Genomic DNA, 24,244 nt, shown 5'->3' with positions numbered 1-24,244 from the left:
TTGAATAAGGCTGCATTTCAAATAAAAAGTTTGTATTTACATGATCACAGGCTATGGGTGTTTGATAAACATAAAATAATAAAAAACATTATAAAGGGAAAATGAAAGATTCGATAACATAAATTTTTGTAAGTACAAAGTATGCTAAAAAGCATAATGCAATTAAAAACCAAAGAATAAACGTTATAATATTGAAACAAAATGAGAGACAATATAAAGAACCCATAATGAAGAAGAAACAAAAACAGATGGTCACATAAAAGAAAATACAATGGTTAATAAATACACGAAAGCATGTCTAAACTCACTGGTCTGATAAGAAATGCAAATTAAAACAAGGAAAACCCATTTTTGCATATTAAAATGGACTACTTCTTTAAATTAAATTTTTATGTGGTATAGTGAAATGGTATTTTAGTTGTAGTGGAAACAGGTGTAAACTCTTTGGATTTGACACGACAATATTTTTATATATATAGTTTGGTAGTCTATCCTAAAAAAATCATAATAATCAGACCTTGAACAAATAATTACTTAAATGTTTCTAAAACAACATTATAATGTTTACTTTAATAGTAAAATTTCAGAAGATCAATATCAAATAACAAAAGAATGATTACATTTATTATATATCCATAGATTAGAATATAATTCAATACAAGCTTTAAAATGTTTAGAAAGAGTAGAGGATGGCACAGGAGAATGTTCAATTTCATTTTTAAAAGATATAAAATTTTATCAACAATATGATCTGAATGAAAAATATTTAAATATATGTTTAAAATTATACTATATTATAATAGGGAAAAAAGGCTATGAAGACGTACTTGATTTTTTAAGAGGTATTTTCTGGGCAGTAAAATTATAGGTAATTATTTTCTTTTTATTTTCTTGCCTTCCCTTGAATGATTATGAGATATATTGTGTTTCCAACCAGAAAAAAAAAATGGCTAGTGTGTGTCTGTGTCTTTTAAACAATACATTTGTATTTCTGGCATTGCCTCTCCACTTCCCCGACAAGCCTTAGCCACTTCTGCTCCAGGACACCTCTTGGTGGAAGTGTCTCTAGAAATTTTGCATTCCTTCCCAAGTTGTTCCCTGTTTTACATCCTGCTATGGACTGAATTGTATCTCTCCAAAAAAAAAATATGTTGAAGCTCTAACCTCCAAACTGATGGTATCTGAAGATAAGGCCTTTGGGAAGTGATTAGGTTTGGATGAGGGTGGGGCTCTCATAATGTGATTAGTGCCCTTACAAGAAAGTGCACCAGAGAGCTTGCCCTCTCTCTCTCTGCCATGGGATGATACATCCAGAAGGTGGCCCTCTGCAACCTGGAAGAGGGCCCTCACCAGAAACCAACCATGCTGGCACCCTGATCGCACACTTCCAGATTCCAGAACTGCAAATTTCTGTTGCTTAAGCCTGGAACCAGTCTGTGGTATTTTGTTTTGGCAGCCAGCACTGACTAATGCACAGCCCCAGACCAAACTGGAGCAGAACAATAACAGATTTCCTCAACAGGGAAGAAAGGATGGTTTCTCCTCCGTGCAACCAAGTATCCAACCTGCATTTCAAACAGCCTCCAAGCCTTCAATTTGGTACTTTCTCCTTGGGCGCCGAGCTCAACATTGACCTCTTCTCTCTCTAGGCCTCTCCCTAGCCCTCCAATTCTCCTATTCCTGCTCATGGAAGTGAACAACTCATCACCACCAACCTATTCAACTCTCCCCATTTTTTAATGTAACATGCAAGTACTGAAGGCAATCTGAGTTCCAGGAAGATGGCAGTAGTCAAAGTCTCTTTATGTGGGGGTTTTTCTGACCCACCACCCTCATAGACAATAAGGCCCTGAAATCTCACCCACTGTGACAAAAGTAAAGTTTGCTCCCCTCTGCAAGTTTATTATCAGTGAGTGAAAATAAAGTTAGATTTCACTATTTCTGAGCGAAATGAGTATTTCTCATGCCCTTTGCATAATCATCTGGGTGGAATAAGTATTTGGAAGCCATGTGCCTCTAACTAAGGAATCACTGGCCACAAAGCCAGAGAAAGAGAAAACAACAGTGTTTCCGGTGTTGCCATGTGCACTATGGAATTTTTGCTACACTGGATTAGGTGAGTGGATGTGGCTGTCTTTGAATTCCATGTTTAATGCACACAAATCTTTTCAGATCTCCCAAGGCAGGACCAAACATGACTCCCACTTTTCATAGCAAAGAAGTCATTAGCTACATATGCCTCCTACCTCACATAACTCACAGGTACTCAGCATAATCATCAAGGGTCCGGCATGTCTTGACTTCTTCCAAAGAGTTGACCATTCTGTCTTGCTCAGTGCCATGGCTAACTACCACGTGCACCATATGAACACTGCATTTTAGTCTTAGCATTAAGACAGCTCTTCCACAGCCAAGATGCAACCAGACATACAGCATGGGTAGCCCCCATCAGCAAAGTAGAAACTGATTTCTGCTTGCAAGCTGAGCTTTCACATTTCCCCTCCTGACCTTGCATGTATTATTTTAAATGTAATGTATTTTTAAATTGCTGTACCATTTTAAAAATGTAAAGGAGAGCTGAATTAAATATTATTTGTAGCATACCCTGGTTTGCAATAGCCTTAAAATCTGATCCCTTATATCAGGTTGATGCCTAAATCCCATTACTTGAGATTGCAAATGACTGTGTTTGCAAAATCGTAGATGCACATTTAGAGGCAGCTTCAAAAATTCAGCCCATAATGTTAACTTTGTTTGAAAAGATCTTCATTTTCCAGGAAGCCATCTCAAGCTATTCTGTCTGTTCCTTAACTCTGGCTCTGTCATGGATAATATATGAATAGCCTAAAAATGACTTGGCAGCTGAGTCTTTAAGAACCATGGTCCAGGGTCAAAAGAAGTTCCTAAATGAATAGAAGGAGCCCACTTTTGAAGCAAATTATAGGATATATTCCAGAACAGGTGAGATCTATAGAGCTCAAATTCAGGGAAGAGGTGCAAGAGTATTCACTCCAACCACATTATCTCAAGGTAACCATCCCCAATTTTCACTTCCTGCTTCTCTGCCCTTCATCCTCCACCCACAGCTGCTATTAGGCTGACACGGGTGTCTAAAATCCAGACAATGTGATTTATATTAGTACTTCTAGTGAAGTATTTGTACCAATGAAATTAACACTTCTCTAAATGAGCATGTACATACATGCCTTGTGTGTGTATATGTACATACACAGATATTTACAATAAACAATATTCTTAGAAAATGCAATCCTGCCATCAAACTATAAAATAATAAGGTATAACAAAGTCAGGCAATCTCATGATATTAAGTAAGCCTCACTCAGGTTGAGGATAGGGCTCTGAGGTTTGCTGATCAACTGTCAAATCCCATAGAGTCTGGGCATAGGTGTCAGGAATACCAGAACATGGTGATAATTTTCTATTTCAAGGACACACCCAAACAATGGGCAAAATGAAATATCTAAAGTTGATAACAATGAAGAGAAAACAGAGGAAGTAGTCCAAGACAGAAGTAGTTGTATGTAGACAGGAGGCTACGTGTAGACAGAAGTAGAACATTATGTTATAAAATAAACAAGCAAAGAATAAGGATCAGAGAAAAGCATATTGGTTATCTCTTAATAATTCTGTGTAACAGATTACTACAAAACTTAGGAGCTAAAAACAACAAATACGTATTGTCTCACTGTTTCTGTTGGTCAGGAATCCAGGCACAACTCAGCTAGGTGCCTCTGCCTGAGGAGGTCTCTTACAAGGCTTCTATCAAAGTGTTTGCCAGGGCTGAAGTCTCATATGAAGGCTTGACTGGAGAAGGATCTGCTTTTGAACTCACTCATGTGACTGCTGATAGGATTCATTTCTGCATTAGAACTAAGCTGTCAGGCCATTAGTTTCTCATTGGCTTTTGGCTGGAGATCTCCCTCCATTCCTTGACACATGGGGCTCTCAATAAGGCAGCTAACAACATGGTAGCTTGCTTTGAGCAAGTAAGCATGAGAATGCACCCAAGATGAAAACATTGTCTTTTGGTAACCTACTCCCCAAAAAAGCTCGTTACCTCTGCCATATTCCATTCACTAGAAGCAAGCCACTAATCCAGTCTATACTCAAGAAGAGAACACCATAGACTGGCAGGATTTCCAGAAGGCAGAGATCAGTGGAGCCCACTTGGAGGCTGTCTCCCAAAAGGAAGAAGTAAATATTAACTAAATAGACTGATACTGCCATATGTTACAGGTGGGAATATACAACAGAACACAGTTTGGGTAATATTTTGAATGACAGGTTTTAAGATGTTCAAAATGTGTGTGTGTGTGTGTGTGTGTGTATGTATATATATACACATACACATATACACATATATAGTTTTTCTAGTGTTCTATTTATTTTTAATGTCAACTTTTACTTTAGAATCAATGGGTACATGTGCAGGTTTCCTACAAAGGTATATTGTGTGACGTTGAAATTTGAGATACGACTGAACCTGTAACCCAGGTAGTAAGCATAGTACCCAATAGGTAGTTATTCAGCCCTTGCCCTCCTCGCACCCTTCTGGTAGTCTCCAGTGTCTATTGTTCCCACCTTTATGTCCATATCCAAGGTTTAGCTCCTGCTTATAAGTGAGAACATGTGCTATTTGGTCTTCTGTTCCTATGTTAATTCACTTAGAATTATGGCCTCTAGCTCCATCCATTTTGCTGCAAAGGACATGATTTTATTCTTCAAAATGTGTATATTTTGATATGATAAACTTCTTCTTATAGTAGTGATTAAACCAAAAATACTAAACCTTAACTAATATTAAACCCTAACTATTACCAATTCTCCCTCCTCCATGTTGTAAGGAATGTGCACCTAAGGGATATTACATTTAATTTCTGGGATGGGTGAGGGTGATAGATGGAGGGTTAAGGAGAGAGGGTAGATTGTTTTACATAAGAAAAGCTATGATACTTGGGGAGAAGTGTGTGGGTGTAAGGGGAGTTCTGGAAGGGGATGGACTGTGGACAATAAATCACTGACAGAATAGCTTTAGAGTCCATGAAAGGGAAGGAGAGGATGAGAAAGTAACTCCCATGATGGTCAGGACAGATATGAACAGAGGAGTTTTAGGAAGACTCGTGTGTTGGCTGATGTAATGCTTCTTTGTAACCCTCTTCAAGAAAAGGTTCAGTAAAAAGCTACTTTGCTGAAATACTTTTAGTGTTGAATTGGGGTCTTATTATTGAAATGTGACACTGCAAAAAAATGCAGTCAAGTCTTTACTTGGGCTACCTAAAACACTGGTCCAAGAAAATAATTCTTGATGTTAAAGACCTATGCATACAAATGTCAATAAAACCATTACTTATGATCATCAAAAATGTGAAAATTTTCAATGTCTGATAAAAAATAAAACAGAATAAAGCATGTATCTTTGTGTAATAAGATATTGCACAAATTAAAAATGGTTATAAAGATTTTATAATGACACAAAAATTGTAAGGATAGAACATTAAGAAGAGAAAGGCAGATTATACACACTCACATGTATATATTTAGGCTACATATAAAAGAACATATGCATACAAAAAGAGACTTGGAAAACTAAGAACATGAAAGATTGGAAAGGAAAGACTGTCTTGAAACGGTTTTTAGTCTGTCTTCTTTTTCATTATCACCACTTTCTCTTTTTTTTAATTATACTTTAAGTTTTAGGGTACATGTGCACAACATGCAGGTTAGTTACATATGTATACATGTGCCATGTTGGTGTGCTGCACCCATTAACTCGTCATTTAACATTAGGTATATCTCCTAATGCTATCCCTCCCCCCTCCCCCCACCCCACAACAGGCCCCAGTGTGTGATGTTCCCCTTCCTGTGTCCATGTGTTCTCATTGTTCAATTCCCACCTGTGAGTGAGAACATGCGGTGTTTGGTTTTTTTGTCCTTGCGATAGTTTGCTGAGAATGATGGTTTCCAGCTTCATCCATGTCCCTACAAAGGACATGAATTCATCATTTTTTATGGCTGCATAGTATTCCATGGTGTATATGTGCCACATTTTCTTAATCCAGTCTATCCCTGTTGGACATTTGGGTTGGTTCCAAGTCTTTGCTATTGTGAATAGTGCCGCAATAAACACACATGTGCATGTGTCTTTATAGCAGCATGATTTATAATCCTTTGGGTATATACCCAGTAATGGGATTGCTGGGTCAAATGGTATTTCTAGTTCTAGATCCCTGAGGAATCGCCACACTGACTTCCACAATGGTTGAACTAGTTTACAGTCCCACCAACAGTGTAAAAGTGTTCCTATTTCTCCACATCCTCTCTAGCACCTGTTGTTTCCTGACTTTTTCATGATCGCCATTCTAACTGGTGTGAGATGGTATCTCATTGTGGTTTTGATTTGCATTTCTCTGATGGCCAGTGATGATGAGCATTTTTTCATGTGTCTCTTTTAAAGGGCATTTCCCTAGGACCTCTTGTCTACACACACCAGGAGGGACACACTTTGTTTTTCCATTCTTCCTCCCTTCCCTCATGGCCTTTCTGAAAAACCAGATGAGAAGCTGCTGGCACAAACACCACTAGAAACCCATAGTGTGTAAGCCGGCCTTAAGCAAAGTACAATAAAGACCTACAGCCCAACCTACCTACCTTTACACACCAGCCACTTTTCATCCTAAACCAGGCATCATAGCAGATACAGCAGTCTTCAAGATACACATTCCCTGCATTGCCTAACATGGCCTGATATAGAACTTATAGTATGTCTGTTGTCTTCTTAAAGGTTTCCTAATGCTCAAGCCAGTCCATGTTGCAATCCAAATATCTCAGAAAAGGGGTAAGAATTGAAGTTCCTGATACCTTAGAGTACATTACTTTATCAGCACAATTTCCTGCAGCAATGATAAAGAAGAGGGACAAAAAAGGGACCTAATTCTTTCAAGAGAAAGAATAATTAAGGAGCGGAGGAGGGAAATCAGTAAAGAGGACGCATTGGAGACATTCCTTCCGTGTTTTAGGATACCATACAAGTGAATGCCATCAGAGACCAGAGGCACTTTGAGGTCATTCTAGTTACACAGAGAATTCTGGAAGGCCTAGCACACCTGTGACTTCATTGGAAAAGATGCCCAAAGAGGCTGAGCATGTTAGGAGAGTGCAGAGTCACAGGAGCAAAGCTGTGAATCACAACAAGTATTCACATTGGATGTGCAAAGGAAAAAAAAAATCTTCCCACTGCAGAATATGCCTGCCTGTTAAATATCCCCCAAGGGAAGAGTGGAATACTATTCATTTGTAGCTCAGTAGGATATATTTTTTTAAATATTAAAAAAAACAGAAAAGCTTTTCCCCCATGACAACAACTCTGCCATAGCAGAGCCTAGGAAGAATGAAGGGAATATGTTAAGGACACTTACTCCATTTATCTGCTCTCCATGCAAATTACAATTTCGGAAGCAGCTGAGGTTAAAAAAGTGGGGGAAGCATTAGACAGCCCTGGTGATTACCTGGTGACCAGGTATCAAGTGAGTGGAAGGGTCACATATAAACAAGGAATGTTCATGTCAGTTGTCTTTCTTCTTGTAGCCTGAGATTGATGGCTGAGTCACTCCACGGTGTAAGATTCCTAGGTGACCTATCTTGATTGGATTAGAACATCCAGAATTCATAAAAATATTTCCAGGTGAAGCTCTTAGTATTGATGCTAATGAATATTATGTTCCGTGCTCTGCCTAACCCACAAGAAGGGTGGGGCACTAATGAAGAAGCGGATAATAATGATAACTCCTTACAATTTCCAATGTATTCTAACAACCATTACAACAATCATCACTGTAGATGACGGAACAGACGAGAGACATGCACGGGGTTCGTTCTTTCTGCTGTGTCCTCGTCAGAAATCACTTCTGGAGCACAGTGTCCTTCTGCACAAATCCCCCTCTAAGCTGCTACTTGCCAACAACTGCGAGTAGCATGGGAGAAGAAACCGGACACTCATGAAGGATCTATCCTTTAGACACTTGCAAATGTGCAGCTTATAAATAACAATATTTGCGCAGGGTCACAGGAGCAAAGCTATGAATCACAACAATCAAATATTGTTATTTGTAATATTTCTTCTGAATCCCATGTTCACTCTATTTGTCTACATACCACAAGTTAAAAGTCTTTTTAACATCGTCTCTCATTTCAATGTCTTGTTTTTACCATGCCTGCTTTCCACTCAGCGTTCCCCAACCACCCTCAATACCTCTTCCCTCTACACCCTCTCTCCCAAAGAAATCATTTTCATGCATGTTATTGTTTTGCTTTGGTTGATCACTTCATAAGAATTATAAGAATTATGACTCAACAAAAAGTAGAGAACAATAATGTTCAGCTGAGATGTGGATTCTTGGCAATAAATCAGACCCATTCAGTTGTTATCACATGCCCATGGGCACCAGCCTTACCGTACACGAGATTCACATTTGTGCCCAGCAAAATGACAATTCACTTATGTGACATGTTCTTGAGTACTAGTAATAAACATAGTACTTAAATCAATGGAGAAGTGAAATAGCCAAGTGTCCACTTGATACATCTGCTCCTTTCAATAACCTTATGAAATTGACAACAAAAATACTGTTCCCATTAGATGGATGAGGGAACCATAGGTTAAAGAGGTCCCACTTAAGCCAAGGTTTGTTCTATACCCAGAGAAATGCATATTTTGTCTTTTCTCAAGGAGATAACAAGTTAATATTTACATCCCTAACCTATACAAAACATATATCTTCAATATAAGCGGTTTAGAGCTTTAGAAAACCCTGAATTCTGTCTTTGGATTAAAAAAAAATGTCTATGTAAAATAAGCTCTTTTGCCATGACTCACACGACACCTAAAAGAATAATCGCGGTAATTATATATCAGAAATGGAGAAGTGATAATTACAAAAATTGAATATTCAAAACTACCACTTGACTATTCAGCACAGGCATAAACTGTTATATTTCCCCTTGGGAGCATATATGAAGAAGCACAGAGTGGAGAAGAGACAAAACACAATTATCAGGACCTAGGGACTCGTTCTTTTTTACTGCATAAAGGAAGAGGGTGGATGACAGAAGCTAGAACCTTCTCCTCTTGCTCTTTGCAAAATATAGGAAAATGTTGCTTCTTAGGCACTTAATTTCATTCAGACACAGTGGCATGGTTCATCTAGCCCAGTGTGCTTTCCTCCTCTACTAACCTGACTTTCTAGTTGGCCAACTGCCTTATCATCTCAAGAGTTTGTTCCAGAAACAGCAGAGGGCTCTTTCTTTCGCTTTCTTTCTTTCTTTCTTTTTTTTTTTTTTTTTTTTCGAATTCTGGACTTCTGAGTGGTGGCATACTGAGAAACTGGACTATCTCAGCTCAGTAAAGGCTGTAGTTCTATAAGTGAAATAGCAGAAAAACAAATATTTCCTTTTTCTGCCTCAGTCTATTGAAAAACCTCCATAGTTCCAAATACAGGCAAAATAATAGTTGGAATAACAGCTACAGATGAAATAATAGTAGGCCTGTAAGGGGCAAACATGCTGGAGATAGTCCAGGTGTTGAGTCAAGAGCAATACTGCCAACTCCCTTTTCTCTCACAACTACTCCGAACCATGTACAAAGAACAAAACAACACAAAACAACAAAACAAAAAAAAAAACAGTTGATTTTTCATAGAATGCTTAGGCAATCTTCATTTAAAATCTAAACATAGTTTTGTGGATGCAGACGGAATGGGTTGAAGCCATTGCTTCCAAAGATGTTGGTATGAATGTGTGTATGTACAAGGTATTTGTTACCACCATCTTCAACACACACACAGCACATCCCTAAGTTGTGTAAGGCATAAACGGCTATCACATGAGTTTTTAAGGGAGTGTTCATAAGATATTTATAAGAGATACGGAATGAGTACAACTTCTAACAAAAATTTTTTTTTGAGACAGAGTCTCGCTCTGTCACCCAAGCTAGAGTACGGTGGCCTAATCTCTATGATGGCAGTAGCCTATTCTCTGTCACCCAAGCTAGAGTACACTGCAGCCTTGAACTCCTGAGCTCAAGTGATCACTGCATCTCAGCCTCCTGAGTAGCTGGGACTACAGGGGCATGACACTGATGGCCAGCTCATTTTTTATTTATTTGTAGAGACAGGGTATCACTATAATGACCAGGCTGGTCTTGAACTCCTGGCCTCAAGCAATCCTCCCACCTCAGCCTCTCAAAGTACTGAGATTACAGACATGAGCCACTGTGCCTAACCAAATCTTTTTTTTTCATTAAGCATATAATTAAGCATGCTATATACTTTGGTGTATGCCTCTTAATCTCCCTTCCTTTAGCCATCACTTCTGCTAAAATGAAAGCAAGATAAAAGTAAGAATCATTTTCATGTTATAGCAAGCAAGTGTAAAAGGCAAATTTGTACAAAACTTGTTACAACCAAGATAAAAATAGTATGCATGCATAAAGGAATACTAATTAATAAAACACTTCCTGATTAGGAGGAAGGGCTTATATTCCATTTGAAACATGTATTCATTCCCATAAAAGGTTTTTCAAAATATGCCCTACAGAGGTAGTTCTGAAGGATTTATCACATGTGACATGAGAAAAGGATTCTGTAGTGAAATAAGTTTGGGAATCAGTGACTTCAAGTTTGGCAGAATTCTTCATTCAGCACTTCTCCAGAGTCTTTAATATCATAACATGAATCCTGAGTTTCCAGGAGTATAAAATTGAATTATCATAACCTGAATTTATTTGACCACAGAAACTCTTATGAAAGAAGAAGCATTTTGTGGAACTGCTGTTCTCCAGAGTACATTTTGGGAAAATACTGCTTTTTAGAATATGTACATAAAATATATGCACTTTTCCAAAAAGAGGGGGTTAGTACATAGCAAAGAGCACCTGATCATGACCCTTCTCACAGAGCTCTTTAAGCCCAGTGCCTCTCAAACTTTCATGTGCACATGAGTCAGCAAAGGATCATGTTAAATGCAAATCCCAGTTTCGTAAGTCTTAATAGGGCCTGAGATTCTGCATTTCTAACAAGTCCCCAGGTGATGCTGATGCTGCTATTCTACAAACCACTCTGTGTAGCAAAGGACTGGAACACATTTGTCTGCAAGAACTGCAACTGTCCAGAGCTGTCTAGAGTGCTACGCTGTTTGATAATTCTTTATCTAAGAAGTAATGAGTGTGTGGATAGGGCTTACCAATAAAACCTGTTGGGTGTGATGCGTTCATGCATGAGTTGCCACCGTCTTCCAAAGTCCATGGAGCTGTAGAGCTGCAAAACAATGAAGTGAGAATGTAAGTCTCAAGGAACCACTGCTGGGCATGAATACAGATGTTTTCCCTGCAGCATCCCAACACCAGAGTGCCCAACACACCCAAGTAGGCATTTATTTTATCCAGATAAAAAGGTAGGAATATGACTGCTTATCATGGTATCTTCTAGCATTACGTGGGTTCTCAATATACATCCAATCAACTGATACTTTTGAGGAGAGTATAAATACACTTCTGATGGCCATCACTGTCTCCATTGTCATGTAGACAAGAAGAGGCAGATTCTGTGCTCCCAGGAAAAATAAGACTACATATAAAAATGCTCATCAGCTGATATATGAGCCAATATTACATGCAAAATATCATGCTTTTACTTTCATTTCTTACTGCTCTATAGATCATCTAAATGAAATGGAGCTCTTCATTGTCACCAAAAAGACCAGGCTCATTCACACTCCTATGTTTTTGCAAGATGGCTAGGCCACTCTTCTTATTATTCCATGTTCACTTACTTTTTGAATGTAGAGTCTGACCCCTTTATAACACCTTAGGGATAAGCCAGCATCCCTATAAGTGACTAACTAGGAGTATTGGGTATATTTTCAACTGAAAGTCTAGAAGTAAAACATCTGATTCTAACTGCCAATGGAATAATAATAATAACGATAATAATAATAATTCTACCATGTTGTTCTTTCATATACATTTAAGCCTTACAACAATCCTGAAAGGAAGGTAGGACAGTTATTACTAACTTAAATCCCTGCTCTTAAGCATTCTGCAATCTGCCCAGGCAGAGTTAGTTACTAAGCTTCCACGGTGCCACCACTGTATTCACTGCCTGCCTCTAAGAAGCTGTTCATAGTAATCCATTGCTGGTTGGCATGTCTCTACCCTGCTAGACTATGAGTCATAAGGGGGCAGGGATCATGCCTTAGTCACCTTTGTGCATCAGTAGTTTTACAATGCCATGTGAGAACATAAACACCTCTAACAGGTGAGAACATAAACCTCCTATTTCACAATTAACAAAACTTAATCTTGGAGAAGATAAGTCTTGGTCAAAGAAACTAGGATTTGAGTTTTCTGATGCCTGGCTCAAGTCTCCTTCCATGGAATCATGACCCAAGTTTATCATGAGAATTCCACCATCCTTATGTTTTTCCCAAAAACTTTTACAGATGGGAGCATTGAGGAAGCCAGAGTGGCTATCAAGTTTATAGAAATTGGACCACATGAAGTATATTCCTGTGATCACATCCCCAATATCTGCTCTCCTATAGGGCTGTTCTTCCCAGCACACCACAGTTGGATAACTTCGCCATCTGGAAAGTTCTAAGTCGATAATGTTACAACTCATACAGAAATAATTTTTTGTATAAACTTCCGGTAATCTCAAAAAAGTTTTGTGGGGCTCAGAAAAGTTTTGACTCATTTCAATTTAATTCAGCAAATATTTATTGAACAACGGAGCCATAAAACTATTTTTGTCTAGTAGAGACAGTTTTATATATGTATATATACACACATATAATTAAACATGTATGTATGTAGGTATATATGTATATATAGTTATATATGTACATATAGTTATATGTATATATATAGTTATATATATGTGTGTGTATATATATATATATATTTTTTTTAATCCTCAAAATAGCCTGTAATGTTGTCAGGTATATACAGCTGACTACTAGCTGTGTTATAGGTTTGAGTTGCATTTGGTTATAAAACAATTTGTTGGGAAAAGTGTGGGGAAGAGGACCTCTTCCCACACACACATGGAGACAGATCCCAATTGGTCTATGATCCTGTTTGCAAGAAAGAGATTCTGCTGGTTGAGTGCCTAAAGAGAAAGGTTGGATGGCCTTCAGATTATATCAGCTTAGCTAGCATTGCTAACCAACTGTTGCAAGCTCTGAAAATAAAAGATCTTGAACCCATTTTATATATATATATAAATATATATACATACATACATATATATTTATATATTTCTTATATATATGCTAAAAATGTATATAAAATGAATATGCTAAATATATATACAAATATATATATTTATATATGCTAAATATATATATTTAGCATATTCATTTTATAGATGAAGGTACTGATGCTTGGTGCTGCATAGTGACTACATCAACTATACAGAAAATATATACATGATTTGGCTGATCACAAGTTTCTGCTATACCACACTGACTTTACACTAACTCTCACAGTATTTATCTAAACTGGGCTCTCAGTACATGAGTAAGTACTAACTACAATATATGTTCAATTATGCATGCAAGAAATATCTTACCACCCTCTAGTCACTTTCTTTATTCACCAACCTGGTGAATAAAACACTACAAAGCTCTACAACCACTAAATTACATAGTACACAAAACCCATTCAATTGTTTAGGAAGCAAACAGAGTAGCTTCTCCCTGATCTTCATATACACTTACAGACACACCATGTCAAAGGGAAAATTGGGGCAAGGGCTAAAGCTCTAGAGGTTGACAGATGGGAAAGATTAACCGGGGTAGAAATTAAACAATGAGACCTCCTGGAAAAATATGTTTTGAGCCAGGCCTTGAGACAACAGGAGCAAAGGTGCCAATATGGCCTAGTGTTCGAGGTTAGCTCTACGAGCACCTTTAAGAAAAAGAAGGGATATGATGACTGTTGTTGGCCAAAAGCGGTGGACACTGTTTGTCTGTCTGTCCTTCCATCTGCCTGTCTCTCCTTCTATCCCTCTGCCCATCTATTTGTGGATATTTCTATATCTTGTATGTATATTTATATTGAGAGGTGGGGAAAAGCAGCAGGTTTTTAAGGACCAGACCATCCCATTGGGAAGAATATATCCATATATTTTATTGCAAAGACTAAGTTTTTCATGTAGGGTTTTAAAAAATGGATCACTCTCCTTCCTATGACAGGTACCTGAGGGACAGATGCTTAGACTTAAGACATGTTTTCCAATTACATATAAAAGAGACTTTGGATGGAACCTTCTATAACCCAAAGTTCAAAATCTGCCAGCCCTGATTCCAAACATAGCAAAGTACCAAATTCTTTCAACAAAACCCAACATGATTGTGTCTTCCTCTGCTGCAAACACTTGAAACAGGCCAGGTAAAAACCATGAGGGTCACACTGACACTGTTAGAGTCTCCATCCTCAGAGAAATCATCAGTTTCATCACGGACGACCTGGTGGTGGCAGAGCTCTTGCTGGGTCACCCTTGAGAGCAGCATGGTTCCTGTCCTCTCACGCTCTTTCTAACATAAAGAGAGCGAGAACCTGGGTGCAGTGGCTCATGCCTATAATCCCAGCACTTTGGGAGGCTGAGGCAGGTGGATCCCAAGGTCAGGAGATCAAGACCATCCTGGCCAACGTGGTGAAACCCCATCTCTACTAAAAATACAAAAATTAGCTGGGCATGGCAGCAGGTGCTTGTAGTCCCAGCTACTGGGGAGGCTGAGGCAGGAGAATTGCTTGAACCTGGGAGGCGGAGGCTGCAGTGAGCCAAGATCACACCACTGCACTCCAGCCTGGGTGACAGAGCAAGACTCCATCTCAAAAAAAAAAAAAAAAAAAAAAAGAGAGCGAGAGAGCCACTGCTGATCTCCTCACTCAGGCCTGTTTCACCTCCTACCTTGCCTATCTCTGGTTTTGCTTTTTCAGCTCTTCAGTTTGACTGATGGAAAAAAAATTAAATTGAATTATCCTCCTGGAGGCTGATTGAGATGAACAGAAAGAGCAGGCTCCTATTCATTAAGGGCTTTGAGTTAGCTACCTTGTCTCTCAATCTGCAGTAAGTTGCTGAGTCTGAAACATATTTTATTCTACCACGAGTTGGATCTTGAAAACCTCTCCACCTACACATCTACTTCTTCATTTAATCACTTATTCATTCAGTCACTAAAAGTGTATCAAACAACTACTATGCTCTAGGAACTGAACTAAGAGCTGAGGTTACAAAGGTCAAAAATGCCATGATCAGTGGAAACAGAAATGCATGCAATTATAATGCCATGCAAAGTAGGCCTTGGTATTGATATTAGTTATCTCTGCAATGGCAAGACTGTGGGCAATTAGTATGTTCTTCTTTTTGTCCTCTAGATTTCTTTAAATTATTATAAATAAATATTACTTTTGTGATTACAAAATTATAGGTCTAACATTAAAATAGAAATAAAACACATGTGTCAACATTTAATAGTAAGTTTTAGAAGATTATTTAAGGATATTAAAATTCTCATGACATTATTAATTTAAAAATATGTTATAAAACATGCATTTATTGATATCGATGTTAAAGTATTACAAAAACTTGAAACATATCAGAAGGAAATATGCCAAAATTTTAGCAGTGGTCGCCTCTGAATTGTGAGATTACGGGTAATTTATATATTTTTGAAGTTTCCATCATTTTTAGATGTTTGAACAATAAATATGTATTATATTTCAATAGTAACTTAAGCCCACATTTTATTCTATTTATATTTTTGTTACAGTAAATTTCTAATTACCATGTGTATATTTATCTCTCAAACTACCTTTTAAAAGGCCATGAATTAAAGTTCTATTTTTTTCATGAGGAAACTGGAATTAGATAAAGCAATATTGAATTTTCCAAAAATAGGACAATGTCCCAGAAATTATCACAGTTAGTGTTGAATCCTTCCTTATACAGGCAATGCATCAGCTCACAGGATGTTTATACAGTCCTGCATGGCTTCAACTCAACATGTTTCATGCAACATTAAAATAAAGTGTGTTTTCCAAACAATAAACATCTTTAAAAACTTTCCTTGTTTATACAGTTACATAAATGAGGCCATGTTCTCTTCCATATCCTGCCACATGATACCCTCTCCCAGCAAAGATGTCCCTCCTGGACATTACCAGAGACCAATCGAGATCCTCTCCTTTCCCTTCTTTCCACTGTATGTCATGGCCACATATCTTTTAACAAGCACAAATTCAGCAGCAACAAACACAGAGCGAGGACTAAATGAATCACTGGAACAGCTGGAAAATATGAAAGAACATACTCTTTTCCTTATTGATTCCGTTATTAGTTCCCTAATTACATTGGCCTGCCAGAGAAAAGCATCTGATAGCTGAAGAACTAAAGAGGCAATTTAATCAATAGAATATTCCACAGGAAGAACAAAAGACTGTACCCGGAAAGCCTGTTCAAAGAATAATATGAGATCATAGGAGAGTCACAGGCATTGTTATGGGTTGAATTTGTGTCCCTCAAGAAAGATATATTAAAGTCCCAGCCTCTAGCATCTCAGAATGTGACCTTACTTGGAAATAATTCTTTGCAGATGTAATCAAGTTAAAATGAGGGTGTTAGGGTGGGCCCTAATCCAGTATGACTGGTGTTCTCATAAGGAGAAATGTAGGCTCATAAGCAGACAGGCAGACAGGGAATCCTACGTAAAGACACATAAGGAGAACTCCATGAGAAGATGGAGGATTAGAGTGACACATCTACAAGCCAAGGATGGCTTAAGACATGTTTTCTAAACCAGCAACCACCAGAAGCTAGAAAAAGGCAAGGAAGGTTTCCCCTAAATGCTTCACAGGGAGCATAGCCCCCACCTGCCAACATCTTGATTTTGGAATTCTATGTGAGATAATATATTTCTGTTACTTCAAGTCACCAAGTTCATGGGGCTTTGTCACAGCAGCTCTAGGAAACTAACATGGGCATCTCACACCCCCTGCCAGGACTAGGCAGTCTGGAGAGAGACAGCAATGACAGAGATGCTACATTTCTCTGTGGCTTCCCTGTCACCACCTAGGCATTTAGTTGTGAGGCCAGATTTTTACATCTGTGGCTGGAAGTTAAACCCTCATTTGCCTACATTTCTTTGTACTGTGCATTTTCATCATGCCTCCACCCCCAGGATACTTTCTAAGAAATGTGAATTTATAATGATCATATGAGGGTAGACCAGACTTAGTCAGAAGAGGCAACAAAATGTGACTTCATGGGATCTTTCAGTGTTCAGGTCAGTTTCTCTTAAGCCAAGGTATCTCCCCGGTAGAAGTGAAAGGATGGGCTGAAATAAACTTTCCTCATAGGAAAGTTAAACTTAATGTATAACTGTGCTGATTCTTTACTCAAAACTTGTGGAGTTTAGGTAGCATTCTGCTGTATTGTGTTCATGATGGTCTTTTGTCTTTCAAATAAAATGAGGCTGGTTCTCTTAGAAATGAGGTCTCTGCCTCTCTTTCCCTGGAGGCACAAGTGTAGAGTAGGAAAGCTTGGCTGGGCTATACGGAGCTGCAGGGAGAATCCCTTAGTTTGTGGTGGCATTTGTAATAGACAGGAAAGAAACCAGAGTCTCACAGCAGCAGGGAGTCCTTTCCAACCTGCGTCTTCAGTTCCTTCCTCAGAAAGTCTTCAACAGATCTTGATAACTGGTGGGAACATTTCTAAGCTCTGGGTACCCAGACAAGAGCTTCCATCTCCAGCTGTCACCTGACCTCAGGTGATCCACCAGCCTTGGCCTCCCAAAGTGCTGGGTTTACAGGTGTGAGCCACTGCTCCCAGCTGGTTTCATATTAATTAAGCACCCAGCATGTGCAAGGCTCAGTGCCAAAGTGTGGTGATACAAAGGTGAATAGCACAAGGTTCCCTGATCTCCAGAAACTCAAAACTTAGATGGGAAGAAACACACATCAACAGGTAAGTGCAGCACAGTGAGGCTCGTGCCAACGGAGGTAGAAGACCACTGAGAACTCAAAGGAAGGAGTGATCAGTTCTGCTGGGTTGGGCGCAGGTCCATAAGCTGAGTCATGATGGATGAGCCAGAGTTGGCCTGAAGGATATGTCCTTCCCCAAAAATTGTGGCTAAAATTCTGGTCATTAGGAAAAAGTTTGGAAACCTAACAGAAACATGATCTCATCTTCCTACAAAAGTACCATTCACTTGGCCCTGGATCAGTGTGCATTGGTCTAAGTGCCACATCTTAAAGAGAAAAAGAGCAGAAGTGGAAAAGGATCCAAACAAGGTCATCTAAAGGATTCAAGTAGAAGGGAAAGAGACAACTCCATAAGAATGTATATGTTAAGGACAAAATGAGGACTTTAAAATGAGCTGTGACAGCAAAGGCTATAAAAGCAGAACAACGTAGGTAGATGCACACCTGGTTTTCAAATTTCAACACATCTCCCCTTGAAGCCTGAAAGAGGCAATATTATAGCACCAAAAATGAAAAAGTACTTTTCAAGCAAATTCACAAAAATTACTATAAGCACTTGATGGCCGGGTGCAGTAGCTCACACTGGTAATCCCAACACTTTGGGAGACCGAGGCAGGTGGATCACAAGGTCAGGAGTTCGAGACCATCCTGGCCAACATGGTGAAACCCCGTCTCTACTAAAAATACAAAAATTAGCCAGGCCTGGTGGCGGGCACCTGTAGTCCCAGCTACTCAGGAGGCTGAGGCAGGAGAATCACTTGAATCTGGGAGGCGGAGGTTGCAGTGAGCCGAGACTGCACCACTGCACTCCAGCCTGGGCAACAGAGCCAGACTCCATCTCAAAAAGAAAAAAAAAAAAAAACTTGGTGAGAAGGGCAGGGTATTTTATAAACAGTATCAAAACAAGACTAAATTTAAAAAGATAGCTTAAGGATCACAGCTTCCCAAAGTTTTCCATCAAAGCATCTCCAAAAGCCAAACGAATACAGCATCCCCCAGAGAATCTGGAGACTTGATCTTAAACACAAGTGCAAATATGTTTAGTTCTCTAATAATTCTCACCTTAAAATTCCATGGGTATTTTGTAATCTGTTCTATACTGTACCCATGCTCAGAATACATTTCTTCATAAATCTTCAGTTAAAGCAGACCCTCCAGAAAAACACTGTGTCTATCATACTCCCTTTTTACCACTGTCCCCCAGGGGTATGTTTTTGAGCCCCAGTTTGAGGAGGATAGGGCCAGTGACAACAAGATTGCTGACATGTGATTAGGGAGCAGTGATATCCTCATGATAGGGAGCAGGTGCTAATGCTTGGGTTGACTCATTTAATTGTCTCAAGTGTGTTTTGTGCAGGGTGACTACAAGAGGGGACTAGGGTCATTCCTTAGTGCCTATGGCAATTAGAATCCTAGACTTGAATATGAAGAGATACTGTATGGGCAGGGTTTCCACTTAAGTCTCCTTAATTATATGAACAAGGGGGAGGGAAAGAAACATGGAGTCTTAGGCAGTGTCATACTTCCAAGAAAGCAATTCTAGCAGACTGTGCCAGTTAATATGGCAGCCTTATTTTTGCCATGGCTTTGTATGATTCTTCAGGCTTATCCTTCTGACTTTGCCTCCAATTTCAAAGGACATTTGTATCTTTGGATGATCAAACCTTCTGTTTCCCAAGTCAGTATCCTCCTCTCTGGAAGACGTGCTTATGCACCTCAAAATCCATTTGAGATCATAGATGAGGCTTGCCCCATATATATACCCCAGTGCCTACCCTATGAAATAGAGTGATTTCCTTCAGTCAAGCATGCAGAAACTGGCTTATACTAACACTGATGTTTACCCTCTGTCAAATGGATGACATCATGCTCATCTCCCACCTGCCTTTTCCTCCAGTATTTTCCCCTCCCTGACTTATCTTCCAAGTTCCAGCCACATTGGTTCCCATTTAGTTTCTCAAACATGCCATGAACTCTCTAGTCTCAGGGCTTTTGCACATGCTACTCCCTCTATCTAGAACACCCTTCTTCCACTTGGACTTCTTCCTATTTCCATTTGGTGTACTGAACTCCTACTCATATGTCAGGTGTCATCGGAAATAACACTTCCTAAGGGAAGTCCTCTTTGGTCACTTCCCACCCCAGACAGCACCAGGTCCACTGTCATCTGCTCTCACGGCTCTCCGTTCTCTTATTCCACAACATTCATCAAAGCATGAAAACATGTATTTGTATAATTTCATGATCAATGTATATCTTCCTTTCTAGATAGTGGGAATTCCTTCCTTAATAACCCCAAGTGCTTAATACTGTGCCAGGTATGGGAAGAGCAGATGTTCAATGACTATTTGCTGAATGAACACATGAATATCCCTTTTCAGATCTTTTAAAGGTCTATTCTTTCTACCTGAAAAAAATCCTCCTTCCTTTTCCGAATTTGTAAAAATTCTATCCTTCTCTCAAAATTAGTTCTAATTCTCTGTTTTCCATGAAGCCATCCTTGGCCAAAACAGGTAAGAGTACAATACCAAAAATTATGAACTAGTTCAGAAAAATTATAAAACCATAGGAAGTCGGTGAGGAAGAAACAGTATCCTATAAACACCATCTCTCTTTTTTGATATTTAATGACAGTGTCCAACTAGCTTCTAATAACAGGCTTCTCTTATAGCTCTCTAATTGTCTCTATGTAACTCATCCAAACATCAACCTACTCATTCATTCACTTATGCATCAAAACTCCAGGCTGTCTCTTCAAGTAGAATAGAAGTTCCTAGATGAGAGGAATCCCATCTGAAATCTTAATCTCCCCATAGAAACTGCCACTGAGCTGCTTAACAACATAGGATCAGAGAATCATAAACATGGCCTTAGAGATAACCTGGACAGTTCTTTTCACACATGGAGACTCTAAAACTCAGAGAACCTAAGAGACTTGCCTAGGGTCACACAGCTAGTCAGCTGTAGAGCTGGAATTTGAACCCAGAGGTCCTGACTTCACTCAATGCTCTTTTTACTACACCATACTATCTTTTATGTTACCTTCTTGCTGTTGAAAGAAAAACAAATTAATATAACCTCACAGGACTAATGTCTCATTTGAGTATGCTGTGCATGAATGGCAGTGTACCTTGAATTTATCTAGCACCTTTATTTACAAATCATTTCCACAATTCCTTTTATCCTCTTTATACTGAAGAGTATTTTCTGAGCTAATAGTCACATAAGACAACCTTACAATTTACACAGTATTTACTGAAGTCCATTCTTTTGTCTCCACAGTCCAATTCCCTCAACCATTTTCCTCTGCAATCAGATTTTATTCATTTTATATGCTGCAATTCATAAATATCTCATATTAAGCCATACCCTTTGAACAAAAACTGATACTCCTCCATGAGATGATGGGCCCACATTCCCACCCCACCCTCTACCTATGTTTTCTCTTTCTCTAAGGGTTTTAGTTTCACATCACATCCTATTGTTAATATCTACTTTATTGCCTGCTTTCCTGGCCTCCTCACTGTGTTCAATTTGTCCTTAATTATTTTCCAGGTTCAGATTTGTTTTTCCTTCCCAAAGGCCTGAATCTAAAAGAAGTGAGAAGAACTTAAATCTCTTAGTTTTAGGTCATTTATTTAATTTAAATTACTATCTCTAAGTATCAAAATAATAATAGCTACGTTCAACTTGGAAGAAATGAAAACCTTGCTATTCCTACCACATGAAATGCCATTTGAAACATAATTCCAGAAGGACATTTAAATATCCTCATAATTTTAGTATTAGTAGCGCTCAGAAAATCTGAGTTCATTCAAATTCAAAATATTATAGGAAGAAAACTTGTACTTCAAAGGCTATTCTTTCAGAGGAGTAAAAAAGGAAAGAAACTCATATATATGGAGGATTTCCCTGACAGGCATTTCTATGTATGTTGTAGTGGTTAACTGACACAAAATACATACTGATGGTGATTTCCGTCCACACTTCCTGAAGGAGGATACTGAAGTTCCAAGGGTTTTAGGAACTTGCTCAAAATCTCAAAGTAAATTTCAGGGTATCTGATTCTAAAACCAACGCTCATCCCAAAATCCTTGGCTGCCACTGAGAAATGTTTTCTTTCTTTCTTTTTTTAAAATGGAGTTTCACTCTTGTTGCCCAGGCTGGAGTGCAGTGGCGCAATCGTGGCTCACTGCAACCTCTGTCTTCCGGTTTCAAGCGGTTCTCCTGCCTCAGCCTCCCGAGTAGCTGGGATTACAGAAGCCTGCTACCACACCTGGCTCATTTTGTATTTTTAGTACAGACGGGGTTTCTCCATGTTGGTCAGGCTGGTCTTGAACTCCTGACCTCAAGTGATCTGCCTGCCTCGGCCTTCCAAAGTGCTGGGATTACAGGTATGAGCCACTGCACCTGGCCCTGAGAAACATTTTCAAGGAAACAACCTGAATTGTTGAGAAAGCTCAAAACTATACGCCAGGGAAAAACTGTAGAAACTTGGATTAGCTGGTAGAGAAGACTGAACAATAAGGAAAGATGTTTATAACTGTTTTCAGGTGCAGGCAAAGGTTGGGAGGACAATGAGACATTCTTCCATGTAGCATTGGAGGGCAGAAGCAGAAACAAAAGGTGAAATCTAGGCAGAAGCAAATGTTTGCTTAATGTAAGAAATAATATCCTCTTGGTAAGAATTTCCTGAGGCTGGAAGGAGCTGCCTCACACGGCAGCAAGTTCTCCAGGGAGTAATGTGATGTGTTTCAGCAGAAGATGGATGAACATTTTGATTAAGGGGACATTAACAGGAAATTAAAGTATCTGCTAGGGTTTAAAACAATGAATTCTTAGGTTCCTTTAGATATATAATTTTTGATTCTTCATCCAAAAGCAATAATTCTAGAAATAGAACCCAAGGGAATGTTCACTACTGATGCTCCCTAAACATTTGTAAAACAAACATACATGTTTTTGTGTGTGTGTGTGTGTGTGTGTGTGTGTGTTTGTGTGTGTGTGTGTTGTTTGTTTGTTTTTTTGAGACTAAGTCTCACCCTTGTTGCCCAGACGGGAGGGCAGTGGCGTGATCTCGGCTCACTGCAACCTCCAACTCCTGGGTTCAAGCAATTCTCCTGCCTCAGCCTCCAGAGTAGCTGGGATTACAGGCACCCACCACCAACCCTGGCTAATTTTTTCATGTGTTTTTACTAGAGACGGGGGTTTACCATGTTGGCCAGGCTGGTCTCAAACTCCTGACCTCAGGTGATCCGCCCACCTCGGCCTCCCAAAGTGCTGGGATTACAGGCATGAGCCACTACACATGGCCAAACATACATGTTTTAAAGGTACTTGAATGTTGTGGAAAAGGCCCAGGACTCTGTGTAACAGTCTCTGGTAGATTCATTCAGCCTCCCTGTATCTAAGACCTTTGTAAAAAGGATCCACAGGCCAGGTGCAGTGGCTCACACCTGTAATCCCAACACTTTGGGAGGCTGAAGTGGGCAGATCACCTGAGGTCAGGAGTTCAAGACCAGCCTGACCAACATGGTAAAACCTCAACTCTACTAAAAATACAAAAATTAGCTAGGCATAGTGGCACATGCCTGTAATCCCAGCTACGTGGGAGGCTAAGGCAGGAAAATCGCTTGAACCCAGGAGGTGGAGGTTGCAGTGAGCCAAGATCCCACCATTGCACTCCAGCCTGGGCAACAAGAGCAAAGCTCTGTCTCAAAAAAAAAAAAAAGGATCTTCAGCATCTTCTTTGGAGAGCTAGGATTTCTTTCCTCACCCCCTAAGTCTAGATTGTCCTTGTTCCTTGTTTTGGTATCAGAATTCAATGTAAATGACAGTTTCCCTGTTTTGTGCAGGAGCCTTGGACACTTCCAATCTCTCAGAATGTTGTGACCATTAGGTGAGCACAGCCATGCTAGCCTGCTGGAGGTAACAGACCATATAGAAGAGAATCCAGACATCCCAGCTGAGACCATCTCAGACCAGCATGCAGCCAACCTACCCAAATGTAAAAGAGAGCCCAGCCAAGATCAGCAGAACTGCCTACTCAACCACAGTTAACAATAAGCGCAGAAGTGAATCTCGCTGAGACCAGAAACATCACCCATATATATGTGAGCAATAATGAATGTTTACTGTTTTAAAATCATTAAGTTTTGGGGGAGATGGTTACATAGCATTAACTAG

General features: G+C 39.3%; 1 protein-coding gene across 1 annotated transcript in view; it reads right to left on the bottom strand.

Moving 5' to 3' along the window:
* Positions 1-24,244, bottom strand: part of SORCS3 (sortilin related VPS10 domain containing receptor 3) — a 623,953-nt gene that overhangs the window by 210,858 nt on the left and 388,851 nt on the right. The window contains exon 5 of the mRNA NM_014978.3: positions 11,257-11,330. Coding sequence (NP_055793.1) covers positions 11,257-11,330 — 74 coding nt within the window. The remainder of the gene's footprint in view (positions 1-11,256; positions 11,331-24,244) is intronic.

Source organism: Homo sapiens, chromosome 10 (assembly GCF_000001405.40).
Source record: "Homo sapiens chromosome 10, GRCh38.p14 Primary Assembly".
NCBI lineage: Eukaryota > Metazoa > Chordata > Mammalia > Primates > Hominidae > Homo > Homo sapiens.
Note: the sequence above shows the minus strand (reverse complement) of the source record. Positions and strands in the feature narration are given on the sequence as shown.